General features: G+C 43.6%; 1 protein-coding gene across 2 annotated transcripts in view, besides 4 other annotated features; it reads left to right on the forward strand.

Annotated features, from left to right (window-relative positions):
* The window catches only part of LMTK2 (lemur tyrosine kinase 2), a 102777-nt gene that overhangs the window by 52819 nt on the left and 27413 nt on the right, over positions 1-22545 (forward strand). For both annotated transcript variants that reach the window (NM_014916.4, XM_011515981.4), the window contains exon 7: positions 11861-11994. In NM_014916.4, coding sequence (NP_055731.2) covers positions 11861-11994 — 134 coding nt within the window. The remainder of the gene's footprint in view (positions 1-11860; positions 11995-22545) is intronic.
* Positions 3567-4076: an enhancer, noted in NCBI's record as "H3K27ac-H3K4me1 hESC enhancer chr7:97792559-97793068 (GRCh37/hg19 assembly coordinates)". NCBI's record gives its function as "activates a minimal SCP1, AML or CMV promoter by ChIP-STARR-seq in primed H9 embryonic stem cells {active_cell/tissue: H9 hESC(primed)}" and the evidence as "EXISTENCE:reporter gene assay evidence [ECO:0000049][PMID:30033119]".
* Positions 4077-4585: an enhancer, noted in NCBI's record as "H3K27ac-H3K4me1 hESC enhancer chr7:97793069-97793577 (GRCh37/hg19 assembly coordinates)". NCBI's record gives its function as "activates a minimal SCP1, AML or CMV promoter by ChIP-STARR-seq in primed H9 embryonic stem cells {active_cell/tissue: H9 hESC(primed)}" and the evidence as "EXISTENCE:reporter gene assay evidence [ECO:0000049][PMID:30033119]".
* Positions 5861-6378: an enhancer, noted in NCBI's record as "H3K27ac-H3K4me1 hESC enhancer chr7:97794853-97795370 (GRCh37/hg19 assembly coordinates)". NCBI's record gives its function as "activates a minimal SCP1, AML or CMV promoter by ChIP-STARR-seq in primed H9 embryonic stem cells {active_cell/tissue: H9 hESC(primed)}" and the evidence as "EXISTENCE:reporter gene assay evidence [ECO:0000049][PMID:30033119]".
* Positions 6379-6894: an enhancer, noted in NCBI's record as "H3K27ac-H3K4me1 hESC enhancer chr7:97795371-97795886 (GRCh37/hg19 assembly coordinates)". NCBI's record gives its function as "activates a minimal SCP1, AML or CMV promoter by ChIP-STARR-seq in primed H9 embryonic stem cells {active_cell/tissue: H9 hESC(primed)}" and the evidence as "EXISTENCE:reporter gene assay evidence [ECO:0000049][PMID:30033119]".

A 22545-nucleotide genomic window follows, 5' to 3' on the forward strand; every position in this document is an offset into this window, starting at 1 on the left:
TTAGGTACCAATATTTGTCCATACTTTCCATGTGATGGCCATGGTGTGGATCAAGTGTGTAGCACAGCCAGAGCCAGAGCTTGGGTCTAGATGTGCCCTCCTAAGAGCGTGAACCAGGCTTGAAACATCTTGAAACACTTTAACCCCCTGAGAGAGCCCAAGAATCGCTTTACCTAGAGTACTCCTCATCCGTCAGCATCTGAAAATAGCAAACGTATGTGACATTTATATGTTTAAAGAGTTAGATTTATTTTCTTAAAAACCTTATTTCTTAGCATGATAATATTATTTATTGGACAGTTGGAAAGATTGTTCTTTGTGCAGTTTCATGAATAATTTCAGTAGTAATTTCTATGTGAAATTTCCTCTAAACATCTTTTCCCGCATGCAGAATATTTCATCTTTTTTAAAAGCCCATTTTTAGCATGTAATTGTTATCTTCCAAAAACAGTGGTGAGCTGTTAATTGGATGAGTCAGGTTTTAATTGATTTCTTTGCATCATCTCAGTTTTCAGAACATTGAAACTTCCATGGCTGTGCATAGAAAAATAGGAGTACCCCAAAACAAATTCCCAGTTAATTCAAATAATATTTTCATCTGTTTAAATAAAGAACAGTAAGCATCGTGATTTTTTGTTTTAATTCCTAAGTGTGATTCGAGTATTTCTCTCATTGGCAGAGGTGGTTGATTAATAAACTTGATAACATTAGCTTTTGTTGGATTATGTAATAGTTACCCTCAAATATCTGTGGCTCATTGCAACAAAGTAGTTCTCACTCATCTTAGGTGTTGGCTTTGAGTCAACTGTGGCTCTCTTCTGGGCTGCATTCATCTTCACTCTAGGATCAGTGTTTTTTCGTGCCTGTAGATGCTGGAAAAGAAAAAAAGAGAAAGTGTATTCTGATGTTGTTCCTTAAAGCATTCTTCATGGCCTCTGGGTCAAGTTTGTGAGGTTGTTTAAATCTCTCATATCTTCTGATTTGGGGGAAGGAGTGTGGAGGGGGTTTGAGTCAGTTTTCTGTTGGTTACTGAGAGAGGCTCTAGTTAAAGATTTTCCTTATAATTCTGGTTGTTTTTACATTTTGATGCCCTGTTATGTAGGCATGAACATTTAAGGTTGGTATAATTTCCTACAATTTCAACCTTCTATCATTATGAAGGGGCTCTCTTTAAGGTTAAAAGCATTAATAAAGATAAAGTCTGGTTTTATTGATACTAATATAGTTAGACCAACTTTCTTTTGGTTGGAATTTGCCTGTCAAATTATATTTCTGTCAATCCTTTTCTTCTCTGGTTTACACCTCTTGTAAATAGTTTGTTGTTAAAAAATTTTTAAATCTTGCAATCGTGGTCACTTAAAATGGAATATGTAGTTCATTTACGTTTCTTGTAATTAGTGAGATATTTGTAATTTTATCTACCTATTTGGTATTCTTTTTTGTACCCGTTACAATTTTTCTTTTTTGCTTTTTTTCTGTTCTTCTTTGGGATTCTCAATTTTTTTTGTTTGTTTCAATTTTCCCCATCTACAAGTCTGGACTTGAGATATTTGTTTCTTAATTTTTTGTGTGGTCGCACTAGAAATTACAGCATGCACATTTTTTAACCTAACAAAGTCTAAAATTAATATTTTAATCCTGCCCCAAAGGAGCTGGAAACTCCTAGAGCTCTCTCTCCATGTAAGGAAAACTGGAATTAAACCTACTTTTCTGGGCCACCCCATATTCTCTGCCATTGTGGAGGATGCTTATTCATTGGGCACTTAACTGAAGTAAGGCAGCATGCTGCACCTGGAGATACCGAGACTCAGTGTGCTCGTTGTCCTCCAGGTCGCCCAGTGAGAGGTGACACAGGATCAATTATTTAGTAGAGGCATGAGAACTAAGAGGAAGGAGTTCTCGCTGGGATTTCTCAGGGTGTTATTGCTTATTATTATATAATCGGTTTTGATGATCTCGATATGATCAGAGTTATAAAATTTATGATCTTAGGTTATTGTGATATAAAAATAGCTTCCTTTTAGTCTAGCTCTGTGTGACCCATGGAAGGTGATTTTGGCACTGACACAGCATCAACAAAAAAAAGTTAGGACACAGAGATGCGCCCTCAGGTGACAAGGCAAGTCTGCTCGTCAGAGGCCCGCTATTCTGAGCTGTTTCATGTTGCCTTTTTTGGTCCCTAAGCTCCTTATATTAATTATAAATAACAGTTGAGGCATAGTCTTTGTGAGTGACCATCACAGAAATAGAGCCGGAGGCAGCATCTATTTGACAATTGCCCGTTTCCCGGCTGATGGAGGTGGCTTGGAAAACTATCTCATATATTTTAGCATTTTCCAGTTCTTCTTTGCCCTTCTGCATGCGTTCTTGAAAGTTCCAGTAGACAATGTTAGTTTTTTCATACAATGGTCAAAGACCTTGTCCACTCCGCTTCATGTTTTCTTCTGAATGGGTTCAGAAGATGGGCTTTGTTTTAATGCTATTTTAATGTATTTTTTATAGCAGCTGTCCTTTTTGGGACTAGTAATTTAACCAGTTTTATAAAGAAACACAAAAACATGGTGGAATAACTCCTTTATGTTACCATAAATGACCCAGTGTTGATCTAGAGTATTTCTGTATCTTTATCATTGTACAGACATCTTTATGAAAATATAAGAAATACATCTGTTCTTTAACTCAGCATCCTTATAATTTTTTCCCCAACAAATTTAGAGCTCAGACTTAAATACATGTTATCCAAATACTTAGACTAAGTATTCAAAGCATATTAACTTACCTAAATTTGATTGGCTCTTATACTTTGGGGTGAATATTATGCATACAGCCTTCTAGAATGAGCAGATGTGACTTCATGAAACACATTTTATGTGACCCTCCTAAGTCACTCGGGGACGGTCACTCCTGAACATCCCGAGGAGCTCTGGTCGCCATCAAAAGCTTCCACTGGCAGTGCAGAGCTAATAGCTTGTTTAATTTAAGCGTCCCACCTAATGGTACATTGATCAATAAAATTTTTTAAGCCATCATTGTTCCTCAAATAATTAAAAATACAATTACCATATGATCCAGCTAGTTCCACTTCTGGGGATATATACAAAAGAAGTGAAAGCAGGCCCTCAGGCAGATATTTGCACACGTTATTCACAGTAATGGGTTATTATCGAAACCACTATTCACAGTAGCTGGGAGGTGGAAGTGGCCAGGTGTCCATCGATGGGTGAATGGATAAACCAAATCTGCTCTCTCTGTGCAATGGAGGATTGTTAAAAGGAAGGAAATTCCAACACAGGCTACAGCATGAATGAACCTTAAGGCCATTATGGGAAGTGAAACAAGCCAGTCACAAAAAGACAAGTTCTGGGTAATTCTACTTACAGGAGGGACCTAGAGTAGTCAGATTCCTAGAGACAGAAAGTAGAAAGGTGGGTGCCAGGGGTGGGCTGGGGCTGGGAAATGGGGAGTTGTTTAATGGATGCAAAGCTTCAGTTTTGTGAGTTGAACAAGTTCTGGAGGGGGCTGGTGGTAATGGTTGTGCAGCAAGAAGAATGTACTTAACTCTGGAATTGTAAAGTTAGACGTGGTTACAATGCCAAATGGTATTTTATGCATTTTTTTTTACCCCAGTAGAAAAAAATGGATAATTACCTCCCACAATTTAAGGTGCCATGTCAGGTGCTACCTATGTTCGGAGGCTAGGATGCCCTTTGGAAATCTTTGGTTATCACTTGGCGTGGCCAGTCATATATCAGAGTCAAGGTCATAAACACAGGGTGCCACCAACTTGTCCAGCAGTGGGAGGTCACATTGTTTCCTTGGGCAATTTCGTACATATCACTTCTGGGCTCTCGTAAACTTGAAAAGGAACAGGTTTTCCAGCAGCAAGGACTAGGGGCCTGACAGGGTTCTTGGCACTGAAGTCCAGCTTCTCCGGGCTCCCACCGTGTGGCAAGAACGGTCAGGTAGCACCAGCCCAGGGAGCCAGAGAGGGCATCTACTTGAAGGGACCGAGGGTTGTCCCATGGGACACACCAAAGTGTCTCTTTGACACTGAGCCCAGCTCCCAGCCTGGATGACCCAAAACCTGCCCAGAAACAGGCCTTTCTGATCAGAGGGGCATAACCCAAGGCAGGACCTGCCCCCTGGCCGCAATACAAAGGGCACAAAGGGCACAGAGGGCAGCGGTCTGGGCTCTGTAAAAAGCTGCTGTGGCCACGGTGAAGGACCGGCTATCGCTGCCTGTCTTAGCAGGTCAAGAGCGATTGAATGAACAGTGGCCTTTTCAGTCGTCATCCTGCAGTCATCATGCCCAATGATAACATCTCCCAAGTAGAAAGGAGAAAATATTTTTGCACTTACTTAATTCCTTGTAAGATGGAATTAACCAGCCTGTTTTTAAAAGGCACTTAATCATGGAATTTTTATGAAAGTAAATGAAAACTCCTCTGAGTGCATTTTGTAGCTGGCCTGCAGCCACAGATTTGCAATGCTGACGGTGACAATGTTTATGAGAGGAGCCGAGAGATGACTGTAGGGTGTTTTATAGAACTTGTTGCCATGGCAGGTACACGCCGCTCTCACGTGAATATCAAGGCAATGAGACTTTTGATTAAGGATCACTCACTCAACAAAAATGGATTGAGCAAATTCGAAGTGCCGGGAGCTGCCTGGTGCTTTAAGGAACACAGAAGTGAATAAGCCCCGCCCCTGACTTGCCTGCTCGGATGTTCATTCTGCCACTCACTGGTTTATCACCTTGGAAAATCCCTTAACCTCTTCTGTAAAATGGCAGTAATACTGTCTCCCCTTAGAACTGCCCTGACCATTAAGTAAGATGATGGATGAGATTACCGAGCACAAGGAAAATGCTCAGTAAGTGGTGGCCATTTTTAGTTACTAAAATTGATTGATTCTAATTATTAAATAAAAGCTTGGGTAGTGCGTATAGAAGTACGGGAGTCCTAACCAGGATCACTGGGGAAGGCTTTGTAAAGGCAGTGTGGAGACAGGGGATGCTGTGCCCTGGTGGCGAGGCCAGCTGGGTCTGTTGGGAAGGCTCAAGTGGAAGGGGTAAGGACAGAGAACAAAGCACGCTGGAGACCAGGCTGCCAGCCGGGAGAGAAAAAGGAGGATGTAGACTAACCTTTGCCACATCCTAGTCTTTCTTATTGGTCAGCAATTTCTTCAGCTCCATCACCTGGCCCCGGAGCAGATGATACTGTGTTCTTGAATGTTGTATCCTGAGCTCCTTTACTAAATTCAGCCAGTAAAACATGGAGTCAGTTTCTGAAGGCAGTTCGCAGTGGAGAAGGGGAAGGATGTCCACTGTTTCTGAAGGCAGTTCGCAGTGGAGAAGGGGAGGGCATCCGCTGGCTGTCCTTTGACAGTAGTGCGTTGCTCTGTGGGACTTGGGCTCTTCTGTTTCTCATGAAGAGCGGTGACTTGGGGGCAGAATCAGAGGAGCTTAGACCCATGGGCTCTTAGACCTGGAAGGAACCTTGGCCACTGCCCACAACGGGGAGTACGATGAGGAAGCTCTGAGCATTCTGGGCTAGGCCCAGTGCTGGGCATTTGATGTATGTTCCCATCGAGTGAGTTGTCTTGACAACGCTGTGAGACCCATAGCAGTAGCTTCAGTCTACAGATGAGGAAACCAAGGCCGAGAGAGGGGAAGGGACTGGCTGAAGAATCAGACCCAGGCTGCGTGTGTCAGGGTTGGTGATGGACTTGCCTGAGGGTGCAGAGTTACCAGTGCCAAAGTGAGTGTGTTTACGGGTGGCTTGATTTTATTCTAATTTTATTCTATTGTTTTTAAAAATAGAAATGGGGTCTCACTATATTGCCCAGGCTGGTCTCAAACTCCTGGTCTCAAGTGATCTTCCCACCTCAGCCTCCGAAAGTGCTGGAATGACCCGGCCCTGTGTACTTTTATACCAGGTGGTTTAATGCCACTACCAGCGGGAGGCCTCCATTTTAGAATTGGCCTCTTTGGTGCAGAAATGCCTAATTAATGGGCAGCTCTTCTTTATGAATGTAGTTATTAATAAGCCCCATGCACCAGGGCACCTCAGTTCAGCAATTTCTCCTCAGGCACCGGGCACACCAAGATGGATGACGTGTCGTTGCCCCTAAGGAGCTCATGTAGAGGAGAGGGGACACAGAGTCACGGTGGAACAGGCGTGAGGAGAGCTGGGGGCACAGGTGGATGGGGTCCCTGACCAGAGCCAGCAGAGGGGAGGCCTGTGCTGGACAACCGCATGGGTTGAGGTGTGGGGGTGATTGGGTCGGGGGTACGTTCCCAGTCCCTGCGTCTGCCCTGTTCCAGTGCCCGGCCCTGTGCTGGGGCCCTGCCAATGGCCTTGGCCCTCCCCACGCCTGGCTGCAGCCCGGGCACTACGGCCTTGGCCCTTGCTGAGTCTGCCTCGGCTGCCTCTGGCCAGGCCCTTCCGGTCTTCCCTGGTGCCTGCTCTCCCTCCCCTGCATTTCCTCCATCAGCACTGCTTCCCCATGTGTGTGGCCACACTGCTCCTAGGTGCTGTCTTCTTTCTCCCCTGTTGCTGCAGTGACAGGTCATCGCTGCTTATAACCAAGGTGTGCACCTGTAGCTGGAGCGCTGGAGCCACACGGAGTGGCAGCTGTGATTTCAGCAGAGGTTCTCTGGCGCCCTCCGATGGTGCTTGGGCAGGCTGATGGGGGCCTCACTGTTGTCTGTAAAAGTTTAAAAAGAAAAACACTTTTAATAGAAAAATTTACAGAATAAGGATATAAAGAAAAATATTTTTGTACAACTGTGCAATGTGTTTTTGTTTTAACCTAAGTGTTATTACAAAAAGACTCAAAAGTTTTAAAAAATTAAAAAGTAAAAAAGTTACAGTAAGCTAAGGTATATTATTGAGAAAGACAAAATTTTTATATAGATTTAGTGTGGTCTAAGGGTCTCTTGAGCCCAGGAGGTCAAGGCTGCATACAGAAATACTTGCCATCGTGTTACAGTGGCTTACACTGTTTTCAGTGCAGTAACATGCTCTATAGGTTTGAAGCCTAGGCTGTAGCAAGAAACCACCCTCTGTAGCCTCAGGGTGCAGTAGGCTGACCATCTAGGTTCATGTAAGTATACTCTGTGATGTTTGCACGATGGTGAAATTGCCTAACAACACATTTCTCAGAAGGCATCCCCAGTGTTAAGTGACACACGACTGTATTTTAACAGAATTTTGGAATAATTTAGACTCTCTGTTCTCAAAGTAACATTTACTATACAAAGATAAACTTTCAAAGAGAATCAGATTTTACTTAAAGAATATTATTTTCCCAAATTAAGTGTCTTTGGCTAGCTTTAATGTCCAGAGTAATGAAGTAATAAATTTAAAAGCCCAGTAAAAATGTGAAATTTCAGATTTACTCCTAAGTTCATTCTTATTAGATTATTAAATGGAAATGATAGGGTGGGGCGGCTTTGGGAAAACAGTTGTCCCAACTTTAACCTGTAGGGCATCATTTAGAATGTCTGCCTAAGTGTTTTTTCTTTTTTCTCCCATTCATTAAGCAAATATTAAACACATGCTGTGTGCCCAGCACTGTTCTAGGTTTTAGAGACACAATAGGGAACTAGACGGAGTCCTAGCCATGTCTAGCTTGCTTTCTAGTGGTAGAGACAGACAAGGAAATAAAACAGCAGGGAGGAACCCAGGCTATCACGGTTGGATTTATGTTTTCAGGGACTGGCTTTGGCTGCTCAGGCGAATGGATGCAGGGAGGCCGCAGGGAGACTGGCGCAGGTGTGTCCTCAAGGTGGGGTGGTGCTGGGACCAATACCACAGCAGCGGAGGCATGGGAGGTAGTTTGAAAACAGACCCAGAACTTGGTGACGGGTTGGATGTGGCTGCCTAGAGGCAGAACTCACAAATGACATCTTCACTTTTGGTCTGACGCACTTGGAAAACGGCGATGCCACTTACTGAGACTGGCAGAGGTTTGTGCCAGAGGGCTCTTAGGCATACAGGGAGGGAAGTTGAGTCAGGAGATGAGGGGCTGGGCCAGAGAGCTGTACGTGAGGCATGGGCTTTCAAGCCATGGGGTGGCTGAAACCCCTGGTCGGGGAGCGCCCCCAGGACTGAGGACCAGGACGGAGCTCCAGGGTCCTTACGGATCAACGAGAGGAGGGAGAGCCAGTGGGGGGGCCGAGGAAGGAGCGGCCAGTGGGATAAGAAGAAACGCAGGAGGTTGCGGTGCCCGAAGGCTGGTGAAGAACATGTTTAAGCAAGGAAAGAACGGGCCGGTCTCCATTAATGCTGGTGAGATGAGACCCGACCAGCTGTGCTTGGGGAGAAGTGGGCAGGTCACTCCTTGATAGGCCTGGCGAGAGCAGCTGCCACTGAATGGTGGATGCAAGTGCTTCTGATGGTGGCAAGGGGTTCCTGAACAAGGAGCCAGGACCGACCAGGCTTCTGAGGAGTTTAACTACGGAAAGGAGAAAGAAGTGGAGGGCTGGGGAGGGGAGGGCTGGGTTTACCTGGGAGGTGTTTGGGGCCAGAGCAGAGAGAAGAGATGGACTCTCGAGAGGACTGAGCTTAGAAAGGCACAAGACGAAGAATCCATGGCAACCAAAGAGGAGATGATGTATAAGGTTATGGATGCCAGTGGGCGGGGGGACCAGTGGTGCTGAGAAAAAATAGACACAGGCAGAGAGCTGCTGGGAGGGAAGCGAGGCCCCGGGCTTCGCGGAGGCGTGGCGGCGTCAGCTGCCCCAGTCTGCATGTCTTCTATTTCATTAGCAGAAGCGGGGGTGTTGCGCTGTCTATATCATTCTTTCATCCTTTCAATAAAATTATTGAAGATTATGTTTTTCCCCAGAATCATCCTATTAAACATATAAATGACTTTAATTTTTCAGTTCTAAAGCTATTTACTTGTTGACTTTTTACACAGTACTGAAATTAATTAATTGCTCCTAGTGTCCTGCAGAAAAGCTATATAAAGCCCTCCCTGGCCATTCATGTCAGCATTGAGGAGCGGGCTTGCGAGGAACCTATTTACAGGTGTTTGAATGACTCATTCTACCAGGGCGTTGCAGGTCACTTGCTCTGCTGATGGAGAGCTTGGTGTAGCGCTCTGCTGCCATCTAGTGTCCTAAGTTTTCCTTCGGGAGTTTTTTGGGGGGTTTTGGGAAGCTGAGAAATTTTTAAAACTTGGATAAAGGAATGTTTATTTTAATTCAGAATACATTGCTATTCTTGGTGAGCTTTTTTCTTTAAATAATGGACCAAAATAATCATGTCTATTCACTAAGCACCATTAAAGTACAAATAAATCAGATAATATGTCTGTTTTGGATAGAATGAATCAAATTTTAGTACTTGCTTAACATAAACATTTTTACTCTAATTAAAGATTTTATGTTGATTTTTTCTTTTAAACTGTGGTACCAGGAGAGCTCTATGGACCTTTCTGAAACATAGAACTAACCCTGGATCCTACACAATCCATGACAAGTCTCAACCATGAGAACCATGACCAGGGGCCTCCAGTAATCTTTGATGTTCTTCCCTATTCCTGGGTTAAAGATATTTTTGCCTGGAATGTACTGATTTTATCTATTCTTAAGTAAAATCCCTTTCTGTTGATTATATTCTGTCTTTGAGTGAAATTTGGGAAGTGGGCTATTATGGAGAGAAGACATTTTAAGAACAGTGAGTGTGGTGAATATACTTTAGATACCCTTGAGAAGCAGCCACGCCCGCTCTGCGCTTCCTCTGCCTTCATGGCTGGGGTGGCAGTTCACTGCCTGCCAGCAGCTGCTGTTGGTTTTAGGATTGGCCAGATTCAGCCCAGCAAAACCATGTTTTCGTGTGAGAGTAAGTTTTTCCTTAGATGGGTATTGGTGGCGGAGGGGTTAGGCAGAAGAATTTCATTACCATTTCATTGGTAATGTAGATAGACTTAAGCTTTTTTCATGTTTACTTTCTCTATGGGCTACCTTATGAAACTCCCAGCTGCCTGTAGTCCTGGAGTTTTTTGCTGGAATTTTTCTGGGTGAATTTAATTGTCTTCTGAATCATTTGTTATCCTTACAACTCCCAAGCTCCACAGAGCCTAATCTGAATGGAGGGGCATATGTTTTTACAAGAAAAAAAAAAAAGTTTTCTCTTTCTCCTCTGGAGTGGCTTCTAATTTCGTTGGAAACAAAGGAGAAGGCACCACGTTTGGAAGGAAATGTATGAAGGACAGCAATGCCAGGTGCACGGCACCGAGGGAAGACCACTGCTCCCCTGGCAGAGCAGTCACATGACGCTTGGGAGACCCCAGCAGATTGATAGGATTGACCTTCAGTTATTTTATGTTCATTCTTATAAAATACATTGATGTTGTCTGCATACTGATTTAATTCACTTGCTAAATAGACCTTTCTTGACTAGTTGGTAAGCCGAAAAGTAGAAGCACAGCCCTACCATTTATTAGCTCTGTGGCCTTGGGCAAATTTCTTACCCTCCCTAAGCCTCAGTTCCATATCTGGTAAACATCTCATATTGTATTTGCAGTAACAAGTGCAAAAACTCCTAACATAACGCTTGGCTCAGGGCTCAAAGCACAAATGGTGGCAACTATTAATATCAACATTATCACTCATGTAAAGATCTTGGAAACTGGGAATGGAAACAAATTTAGATTCTTGGAGTGGACCTAGAAGTTACCTCAGAATGTACTCAGTATTAAATGTGGGTAAATGTTTGTAAAGGAATACTGTGTTTTAAGGTTTTATTCTGGGAGGTATTTGATAAATTGGCTATCTTCAGTAACAGTTACAAGACATGTACTCTTTAGTTGGTCAAGGAAAATGCCCTTCCTCAGGAGTCTTTTTTTTTTTTCTTTTTTTTCCCGCTCCCCGCCTCCAGCCGTCTTTTCTTGACTCAGATTTAAAGAACACTGAAAGCTATTGGCTTGCTTTCTAAATTTTATTAACTGATTCGAGGAAACTTTAATTTGGAATGAAATCATATCAATAAATATTTAATCATATGGTAAGGAGAATATGGAAGATTTTATTCCCTCAGAAGGTGTTCCCCATAACAGATACACGGTAAACTCCCAAAAACATAGTATCCTAAATGAAAATCATGAAATAAAGACAGCGTAACACAGGGAAGTCTTGGAGGAGGCCTGGGGAGCCCTGCAGTGTCATGGCCATGTGCTGGGCATCTGACTGTAAGTTTGTTTATTTTCCTGCTCAGGTTGCTCCCCTTTGAAGAGTAGGCTTGTTAACGTGGTGAGTTTTTCTGGAGTGGCTGAAATGTTCTTTCTCTTCACCGTCTCAGGATAGCCCAGGGTCCTGGGGAAGCTGGGGGAGACCTGAAACAGTTGTTGCTGCACTACCTGGACTTCTCCTTTCCCACCCATTTTTCTTTCCTTCTCTCCCGCTCCATTGCTCCTCCAAGCTTTGGCAGTAACCACGGCGCCTTCGTGATGAAGCGCTCACTGCCCAGGGGCCGCCTGGAGTCCATAGAACAGGCAGTGTGAGTGGCACCATTTCTTACACTCTCCGTGTCATCTCCTAGGTAACCTGGGAGTTTCTCTAATTCTACACAGCATTTAGTTTAAATGTGCATCATTGCAAAACTATCTTTTTTTAAACTGTTTTGTGTTCCATGTGTTTATGTGACAAAGATGTTAACTAGTTAGAATGTTCCTAAAAGCATAATAGTGTTCTATACTTTCGCAGTATTGGGTTGGAACTTCTTTAAGTATGAACAAAAGAAGTTTCTAATAAATAATCTTAACAGTTAGTGTTCACCGAGGCACGTATTTAAGCGCTCACTTTATTCCTGTGGCTCGTTTGGAAACTCACACGGGCTGACTTTTGCAGGGTGACCTGAAGGCGTATCTGCGCAGCGAGCAGGAGCACATGCGGGGGGACTCACAGACCATGCTGCTGCAGAGGATGGCGTGCGAGGTCGCCGCGGGGCTGGCCGCCATGCACAAGCTGCACTTCCTGCACAGGTGGGTACCTGCGTCAGCGGTGCACGCCCCACACAGCACCGGCGGGACAGTCCAGAGAGGCTGCCGAGTTTGTGAAACTTAAGGAGGACAGGAGGTGGCAGAATGAACCCAGCTCATGTAGGTAGAAGCGATCTCGTTCTTACCCATGTCCGGATAAGGGTTGAGTTGGGCTTCATTGAAACCAGTACCAGGGAATAAGATGTCTTAATACATTTATTATTTCCAGCATTTCAAAGAATGTGAATAGTTGTACCTGCCTCAGAGTTGGGAGTAAACAGTCCCGATCCACCGTATGACACCTCGCGTGTTTCATCCTTGCCACACCAGCTTTAGGCTTCTGGTGCCACCCGCCCGGTTTCATGGTGCATCCCAGTTCACATTCCTGAGAGAGGAAGAGAGAATCTCTAGGCCAGCAGCCTCTGTTTGCACAAGGTCATAGCACTGGTTTCTGGCCAGCTGAAGGGTGGGCTTCAGGTGCCCATTTGGAAGCAGAGGTGTCATGGGATCCGATCTGATGAGGCCCCCCGCTCCCGGGTGGGTAGTCAGGGGCTGCTTGTGAGCAGCACAGCGATCTGTGTAGCACATTTCTGTTGCAGCTTTTCAGGCCCCACTTGAATGACCATAGTTCTTTTTTTTTTTTTTTTTTTTGAGACGGAGTCTTGCTCTGTCGCCCAGGCAGGAGTGCAGTGGCACGTTCTCGGCTCACTGCAAGCTCCACCTCCCGGGTTCACGCCTTGAATGACCGTAGTTCTTTGGAACACGTTATATTTTGTTAAGATCATAGATGGTGATTTTCGTAATTAAAACACCAAAGGACTTGGAGTCCCGTCTCAAATGAGGAGTCTGTTCTGTGAACCCAAAAGGAGATTTCTGCTTATTCTCCTCTAGGCTTTTGAGCTGTGCTTTATGTTTAAAAACAACACAATACGTTTAAAATTATTTCTTAGGTCTCCAGGGAAACCAGGCAGTATTTCTTTAGTCAACTTTAAGTAAATCATTTAACTCTTAGTAATCCATTGACCTAAAAAGGAACACCTGTGTGTCTTGACTTGAAGAGATGTGTATGAAGTATTCTATTTTTTATTTATTTATGTATTATTTTTTTGAGACGGAGTCTCTGTCGCCCAGGCTGGAGTGCAGTGATGTGATCTCGGCTCACTACAACCTCCACCGCCAGGGTTCAAGTGATTCTCCTGCCTCAGCCTTCCGAGTAGCTGGGGCTACAGGCACTTGCCACCAGGCCTGGCTAATTTTTGTATTTTCAGTACAGATGGGGTTTCACCATGTTGGCCAGGCTGGTCTCAAACTTCTGACCTCAGATGATCCGTCCGCCTCAGCCTCCCGAAGTGCCAGGATTACAGGTGTGAGCCACTGTGCCTGGCTTGAAGTATTCTTTTTTGTAAAAAGCAGATTTCACAGTAATATGCTTAGTGTGATTCCATTTCTTAAGTATGAAAACACCTGGTCGTATTTCTAGAGGTGTGTGTGTCTTAAACAGGCGTGGAAAAGTACCGTGCCTATCAGACTGTCAACATTCCTTCAAGGGGGGACAGAGGAAAATTATTAACCTTCTTCTTACACATTTATATCTTGTTTGATTTACGATAGTAAACAAATCATTCTGGTAAAGTGTTTTTTTTTTTTTAAAGACTCAAAAAGTTACCAGTTTCTTAAGACCCAAAGCAGAATCCCTTATATGAAGCTTTATAAAGATTTCGTAATGGAGAAAGCCTACATTTAGCTTTTGATGTCTTTTATAACAGGCTGTTATCTAGCATAATTTATATTGTTAATATATCTTACAAAATGCAGATAATTACTAATACTGGTATAGGAATTCTTAAATTTTGGAGAAGGGGGTTTAATTTTAAAAGAGCATAATATTGGAATCAGCAATGTAAAATTATCAAAGACAACTAGAATCTGTATTTTTTAAATTGGCAAAGATATCAGAGTAAATAGTATTTTCCTGTGAGTTTCAAGTTAAAGTTTTACTTAATTTCAAAGTTTGTGGACTTTAGAGCAAGTAAAGATGATGAGTAAATCACATAGTTTGGGTTTTATTCAAGTTCTAAAACTCAAGTTAAAGAAAATCCTTGAGGCCGGGCACGGTGGCTCATGCCTGTAATCCCCGCACTTTGGGAGGCCGAGGCAGGCGGATCACAAGGTCAGGAGATCGAGACTGTCCTGGCTAACACGGTGAAACCCCGTCTCTACTAAAAATACAAAAAATTAGCCGGATGTGGTGACGGGTGCCTGTAGTCCCAGCTATTCGGGAGGCTGAGGCAGGAGAATGGCGTGAACCCGGGAGGTGGAGCTTGCAGTGAGCCGAGATCATGCCACTGCACTCTAGTCTGGGTGACAGAGCGAGATTCTGTCTCAAAAAACAAAAAACCCTTGAAACCATTGACAGCTGTTTCATTTTGTTGTAAAAAAAAAAAAAAAAAAGAAAAAGTAATCATATCTATATTAAATTTCTGTTTGGGGCAAAGTTTTGTGTTTTAAGATCTTTTTTGTCAGTAGCATATCATATAGTATATTTTTAAGTTGGAATTTAGAATATTTATTGGTTGACTTAAAGTAGGACTTCCTCTGTTGGTTGAAAATAGAACAACCTACATGTCCAATTAAAGTTCTTAGCTCCATTTGGAAACTAATCTAGTAAGGCACCCACAGTGAAGTTGTATTTCTACCTATTGTTTAAGAAGAGCCTTAACCTGGAGTCTGAGGAGCCTGTGTCTCTGAAGTCGTGCATGTGACTTTTGGAAAGCCATGTAAACAGCAGGCGCTGCCAGCTTGCTGCTGTGCCATCCCACTTGCCTTGCTGGCCTGGAGCCCAGGACTTCCTGTCCCCTGCCTGCCAGTCTCCTGAGCAGCCTGTCCGTGAGATGCCACCAGGTCGCTGTGATGAGCTGAGCCAGGGGGTTCTCATGGGCGGCCTGCCTCCTCGCAGTGACTCATGGAGCTGGAGACCTGGAGGGGGTAGCCTTGCGGAGTACCTGGGTGACCATTGTGTACAAAAGAACCTCTATAGGATTTGCCAGGTTGTAGCATTACAGTTACTTTCTGCTGTGCAACACTGGGGTTAGTGTGTAGCGAACTTCCACAGCCTGCAGAGTTCAATGACAAGGTGAGAGGTAGAGAAATGCATTTAAAATCCAGTGACAAGGTGAGAGACAGAGAAATACATTTAAAATCAAAGCAAAGTGCACACCTGTTGCTCACTACCGCCCCAGCAGGAGAGTGGAAACGCATGTTCTCATTTGGCAGGGTGTTTGCCGTGTTCCATGCATTTGCAGAACGTTCTGTGAGTAGTGATTTGATCGTCAGGGCCACCCCACGTGCCACGAGGCAGGTGCCATTATTCATCCCAGTTACAGAGGAGAATACTGAGGCTTGGGGTGCTGAGCGGTTGGTCTGTCTCAGCCACTCATTTGATCATTTGATGAGCAGTTTGTACCCACGTGCACATACCGTGTGTGGTCATTTCTGCAGGAGGAGGAAGAGTTACTTTGGGAAGAGTCCAGGTCGGTTTTTGGAAGGAGGTGGCGTTTTAGTGATCCTTGAAGAATGGGCATCAGTTGAAGGCTGGAGGACATTCAGAATTTCTGGAGAAGGGAGTAGCAAGATGATGTATATGGTAGGAGGAAGAGAAAGAAAGGGAGTTTAGGGAAATGTCAGATAGTCCAGTGTTACCAGAAAAGAAGACGCAGGAGAGAAGATAGTGGGAGATAAGAATAGAGACACAGCTTGAAACCAAATTACAGAGGGCCTGAGTGCCAAGATAAGGCCTTCAGGCTGTGTTCTGTAGGCAGTAGGATGGCATGCCCAGAGCTTTGTGTGTGCACGTGCGTGCATGTTTAATCACTATTGCACCTCAGCTTAGGCTGGTTTAGAAAGAGAAGGCACTACCTAAACGAAAACCAAACCGGAATTCATATATGGTGGGTGTCCATGAAGTTTCCTTATTTCCCTTTCTACATGGAAGACTTGCTGAAGGCAGGGATTGTATCTTCCTGACCTTTGTATCTCCCATGATGTATGTCACACAGAAATGAGGAAGGCTTCAAGGGAAAGGAACCAGTTTGACTGCAGCTACAACCCAAGAAGAGATGGAAAGACTGTAATCAGCCGAGTAGCTACACTGGGAAGGTGATTAAAGAGCTTTCATTTTAAAAGGCTCGAGGTCCAGAGGGTTTCATGGGTGTCCTCTGTCTGACCTTTAATGAACAGGTGGCTCCAGTGTATTTAAACTATTCCGGACCATAAAGAAGACGGAAATTTCTATAACTCATATCATGAATCCAACACAAGCTTAATAGCAAAAGATGACATAAAGAAATTATTGACGATTCTCCTGAATGAACATAGACACAAATACTAGCAAACTGCATGTAGCAGTGTGTGAATAAAACAATTAAGACTTATTCTAGGACTATAAGGGTAGATGTGTATTATAAAAATATGTCTACATAATTCATTCCATTGACAGAATAAAAGAGGAGAAATACATTATAGCAATAGATTGCAGAAACATCATTTAGTATAATTCAGCAGCTATTCTGTGTTTACATAGACTATGTAAACATATTCTCCTCTGATGGGAAACATTTCTTCCGACAGGAAAGGAAAGATACAACTTAAATATCATATGGACTAAGACTCAAAACTTTACCAAAACTTAATAGCAATATCATGCTATTGCTAAATGGCAAAATAATAAAGTCCTTTCAATTAAATGAGAAACCAGGCAGAGATGCCCACTATTTCTGTTACCTTCCAACATTTCTTTGGAGGTACTAGCTAATACAAACACAAACTATAAAATTATCAGTTTAAAAATAATAGGCCCAAGAAATAAGGGGGAAAAAAGAAAAAAATAATAATAGGCCAGGCACAGTGGCTCACACCTGTAATCTCAGCACTTTGGGAGGCCGAGGTGGGCAGATCACTTGAGGTCAGGAGTTTGAGACCAGCCTGGCCAACATGGTGAAATCCCATCTCTACTAAAAATACAAAAAAATTAGCCAGGCGTGGTGGCACATGCCTGTAATCCCAGCTACTTGGGAGGCTGAGGCAGGAGAATCGCTTGAACCCGGGAGGCAGAGGTTGCAGTGAGCTGAGATCGCACCACTGCACTCCAGCCTGCATGACAGAGCGAGACTCCATCTCAATAATAATAATGATTTACTGAATGCTTCCCACATGCCAGCTACTTTACACCAACTCTTAAGTGGTAGTGCTGGTTTTCCCGTCTGTGTTACAGGTCAGGAGACGCAGGCACAGACAGGTATACTGACTTGTTCAGGGTCGTGCAACTGGAAGCCAGCAGAGCTGGGATTCAAAGCTACACCGTCTGCCTCCAGATTTCACACTGTTAACCACCGAGCTACACCACACAATCATTGGAAAAGAAGAGAACATTGCCCTTCTTTACTGGTGCCATGGTGTTGGATGTTTAGAAAAACCAAGAAACTGTGCTTTTAAAAAATTAGAATTCATAAAAGAATTTGTTGTGGCTTTTTATAAGACAGTATACATAAGTCAGTAGTTTTTCTCTGTACAGGTGTAATTATGTACCCAGTAGTGAAGGTGGATAAAAACCATTTTATTCTGAATAATGCCAAAATTATAAATTATCTGGGTATATATTATGTGAGAAAGACACAGGACTGTATGAAGAAAACTATGAAATCTTATTGAAGAATGTAAAATAACATGTGGACACATGGAAAGATGCACCATGATTTATGGTGGGGAGGCCACACAAAAATGCCAGTTCACTCAAAGAATTCCCATTCGAATCTGAACAGGGTTTTTATTTATTTTTTATTTTTTTGAGACAGGGTCTCGCTCTGTCACCCAGGCTTGAGTGAGTGCAGTGGCACGATCATGGCTCACTTGCTTGGCCTTGACTTCCCAGGCTCAAGCAATCCTCTTGTCTCAGCCTCGCAGGTAGCTGGGACTATACATATGCACCATCAGTGGTGGACCCTATTCCAGCCAGAGGCGTTTTCCCTAGGGTGTAATAAGAATTTCACACCCTGTGGAAGAACTCTGTGTACCCAAATCCTAGCAGGTGCCTGAGATACACACAGCAGGCACTCAGTAAATGTACCATTGCCCAGCTAGCAAAGACTGACCTAATAAGCAGGGCAAACACTGTCAAAACTCTAGTATAAAGTTGCCTCTGTGTGCTTTATCGGAATCCTCTTGTTTTAATCCTCTCCTGGTACGTCTCCATCCCATCTTAGAGTGTTAAGTGCAGAGTCCCTTCGGAAGCTTAAGTCTTTGTGGCTGCCAGAGTCAGAATGACGTGACGAGCAGAGGGAGGCTTTGGAATTGAAGTTTTCATTCACCTCTCATCAGCTTTACCAGTATAAGCCTGGTTATTTCATCCTTCGGAGCTCTATCTCTTCTATAAAATGGGGATCGTCTTTAAAGCCCTGGAGTGCTGTTGTCAAGATGGAGATAAAGTATGCCAAGCTGCTAGAAGAATATTCAGTAACTTTCCGGTATTTTGCTTCCTGTCTGTGAACTCTTCTTATCAGGAATCCAGATTACTCGGGAAAGCATAAGTAGTTCACATAATAGAGGTGTGGATTATTTTGAAAATGCCTCCTGCGTGTTGAGTTTGCATTGGAGAACCCCGAAGACGCGCAAACTAGTCCTAGCGTGAGTGAGCAGCAAGCAGTGGTACTTCCTTGTGAATCGGGGTGGGAACCCTTCAGAACCGCGAGCTCCCACTTTCTGTCGATCGCTCTGCTCATGCGGCCCTGAGTCTCATGGTTACTGTGGTCTCAGTCACAGCAAGTGCTGCCAAGCTCAGGCGACGCTGCCAGAGCCTTCTGAGAGCCGGGCGGGGCTGGTGCCACTGGTAGCCTCATCCCTGGACCTGTTTTTCAACTTGAAGGGAGAGCAGACTGGCTGTGTGTTTGCATTTCCTGACAAAAGCAGCCATTGACGTCAAGAGTTCCCTCTGTTGTTAAGAAGTGACACCTGTGTGTTTTTCTTTAGCTTTGCACGTTATTGGGCTTCAGATAATATTTATTTTTACCAACTTTGGCCCAAATTGTATCATTACTTTGAATCTGTACAGCACTTTTATGTTTTCAAAACATTTCATGTATTTTTCAGTGTTACCCTTGCAACAGCCTTGTGAGTTAACCATTTCAAGTGCAACCTGTTGTTTCGTGAGGAAACTGAGGCTCCTCTGCTATGCATGTGACCAGCCCAGCATCACATGGTCTTGCAGCAGTGGAACTGAGATGAGCTCCTGGCCTCCTGACTGCCCAGGGCTCCCTCCCACTGCATTGTGGAGCCTGGGCACTTGGGGAGGAGTGGGGCAGGACCCAGTCCTGCCACTGTTTGCTTCCTCACCACCTCTGGGTTTCAGGTCATGAGAAGCATTGCCTTTTCCCCTGGGAACACCAGTTGCTTGCTTTCGAGTTTTATAATGAGAGCCAAGGACCTTCTGCAGGCGTAATTGTTCATCTTTTACCAAGCCTTTGCATTTCAAGTATCCAAAGACCTACGTGGAATGTTAGTATGGAGAGAGAAGAGGAGGGAGGGACTGGGACAGTCATCCTGCCATCCAGGAAATGCCTGAGCTCGACATCGCCCAAGCTAGCCTCAGGCTGCTGCCCCTGGCCTAGCAGGATGCGTGCTTGCCCTTGTTGGGATGCTGGCATCCAGCTCCTTGTTCTGGTCTCAGGAGGGAGATGTCGGGAAGGTTCACAGGGTCTGTTTATAGACCCTAGAGGTGGTCGTTGGTGGTGCCCAGTGACGGAGCCTCTGTTGGCAAAACCTGTATCTCTGCAGTCGCAGCTGTTGGCCCAGTGGATAGAGCAGCCTTACTTAAAGCATTTTCACTTTTCTGTCCTCATATGGCATGTTCCTCCTCCCTCTCTCCCTCCTTCCCTCTCTCCCTCCCTCCCTTTCTCCCTCCCTCCCTTTCTCCCTCCCTCCCTCTCTCCCTTGCTTAATTCCAAGAAATGGGGACCAACATTCTTCTTACAATTAGAAGATTCTTTGTTGTTCATAACAGTGGAGTCACAGGTGTCCCAAGGTTTTTCCCAGGCAGTTCAGCAGGCCTGAAGGCTTCTGGATGGAGTGCAGAAAATCACTTGTAAGCACAAAGAGTGTGGCAAGTGATGTGAGGTAGCTAACTGGAATCCACATTGAGGACCAGCTGCGTGCTTGGAACAGCAGCTCCAAGTGTCACTGCATCATCGTTGAGAGTTATTGACGGTGAAAACACAAACATATTACCGAACACTACCTTGCTAGCTTTGTGGCCCTAGCGAAGTCACTTCAATTCTCTGCCTCAGTGTCCATATTTGTTAATGAGGAAAATAATAGTACCCACCTCACAGGTTTGTGGTGAAGATTAAACACTTAGAGAAAACATAAAATGCCTCTTGTGAAGTAAGTATTTTTTGAATATTAGCCATGATTATGTTATTGAATCAATGTTATGTATCAAGCTGTTACCGAATTATATCGGTGTTAGCCGTTGCTGTCATCATCTCCATTATCCTTGTATTTCAGACATGTGAGCTTTGGAAATTAAAATCTTTGAAAATATGAATGTGATAGTTTAAGTTTTTGGTCTTTTGCCTTTCTGTAAAGACATACATTTTGCACTATGGAAATTCAGCTTTGATATCTTCAGTTTACAACTTAAAACTATAAATTAGGCCTCCTTTTCTATTTTAATTTAATGGCTTTTTTATTCGTATACCAGTTGGTGATTATAAAGACTCTAAGGGTTAAAGCCAAAAGCCAAAAAACTTAATCTGTTGTCTGTGTGGAAAGTTCCTTTAGAAAAAGTAGTTTTTACTTGTCAAATTGTGTGTTTTTGAAAATTAACTGTTTCTTAAAATAAATTCTATAATTGTTCTGTGTCTTGAAATATGCTCTTTACCTCCCTTGTGGAGAAGTAGAGAGTTTGGAAGTCATGAAAGTAATTTGGAAAGGGCCTGACTACAACGCTTGCATATCTTTGAGAAAGGGGAAAAATAAACATTTTTAATAATGTGGATTATTTTTGGGTGCTTGAAGTTATAAATTATATTAATATTTACTTATAACAGACTATTACTAGACTATTACTCAAGTAATACAAGCTGTAAAAAAAATTCACCAATTTTGCTAATAGCATTTTAGAGTTCCTTCTTAGTCACTCTGAAAATACAAGGAAACACTCTTTCAGGTCGGGCCGGGCCCAGCTGGTTCCGGTTCCGTGAGCGCCCGGCAGACTGAGGGAGAGAGAGAGAGAAAGAGGAGGGGAGGAGGAGGAGGATTCAGGGAATAGGAGCTGGGGAGCCCTTCTGCGGAGCCCTTCTGCGCCACAGTGATATCAGTATCAAGATAAAAGTGTGGAATGGGAGAAAAATTCTCAAAGCCTGAAAGAAAATCTGGAGATGCTGTTTTTCCAGCAGCTCAGTTGAGGGAGAACTTAGCTTGTGTTTCTTGATTCCTCTTCAACTTCTGTTTGCAAACCAAGACTTGTGTTTGGAGAACTCTATTGTACTGAGCCTAAGTCATTTATGATCTATAACAAGAACATGCATTTTCACATGTCAACTAGATTTGTGGACCGGTAAAGTTCTCCCCAAAGAGATGGGCTCTCACCCTGCCATCCAGGCTGGAATAGTGGTGCAATCATAGCCCATTGTAGCCTCCATCTCAAGGACTCAAGGGATCCTCCCTCCTAGGCCTCCCAGGTAGCTGGGATTACAGATATAGAAAAGCATATCCTAAAATTCATATGGATTCTGAAGGGACCTCAAATACTCAATACAATACAGTCTTGAAACAGAAGAACAAAGCTAGAAGACTCACCTTTTCTGATTTTAAAACTTACTACAAAGCTACAGTAATCAAAACAGTGTTGTACTAGCATAAGGAAGACATATAGACCAATGAAATAGAAGAGAGAGCCCAGAAATAAAACTTCATATATATGGTCAAATGATTTTTTTCTTTTTTCTTTTTTCTTGAGATGGAGCCTCGCTCTGTTGCCAGGCTGGAGTGCAGTGGCACGATCTCAGCTCACTGCAACCTCCGCCTCCTGGGTTCAAGCGATTCTCCTGCCTCAGCCTCCCCAGTAGCTGGAATTACAGGCACCCACCATCATGCCCGGCTAATTTTTGTATTTTTAGTAGAGATTGGGTTTCACCATGTTGGCCAGGAAGGTCTCCATCTCTTGACCTTGTGATCTGCCTGCCTTGGCCTCCCAAAGTGCTGGGATTACAGTTGTGAGCCACTGCACCCAGCCGGTCAAATGATTTTTAACAAGAGTACCAGGACTATTCAATGGAGAAAGGATAGTGTTTTCAACAAATGCTGCTGGGAAAATGGGATATCCACATGCAAAAAATGAAGTTGAACCCTTAACTAACACCATATACAAAAATTAACTCAAAATGGATCAAAGACCTAAATGTAAGATGCAAAACTATAAAAGTCTTAGAAGAAAATAAGGAAAAAACTTTATGACAGTGATTTATTCAGCAGTTATTTATTGGGTATGACATCAAAGGCACA

Source organism: Homo sapiens, chromosome 7 (genome assembly GCF_000001405.40).
Source record: "Homo sapiens chromosome 7, GRCh38.p14 Primary Assembly".
Taxonomy (NCBI): Eukaryota; Metazoa; Chordata; class Mammalia; order Primates; family Hominidae; genus Homo; species Homo sapiens.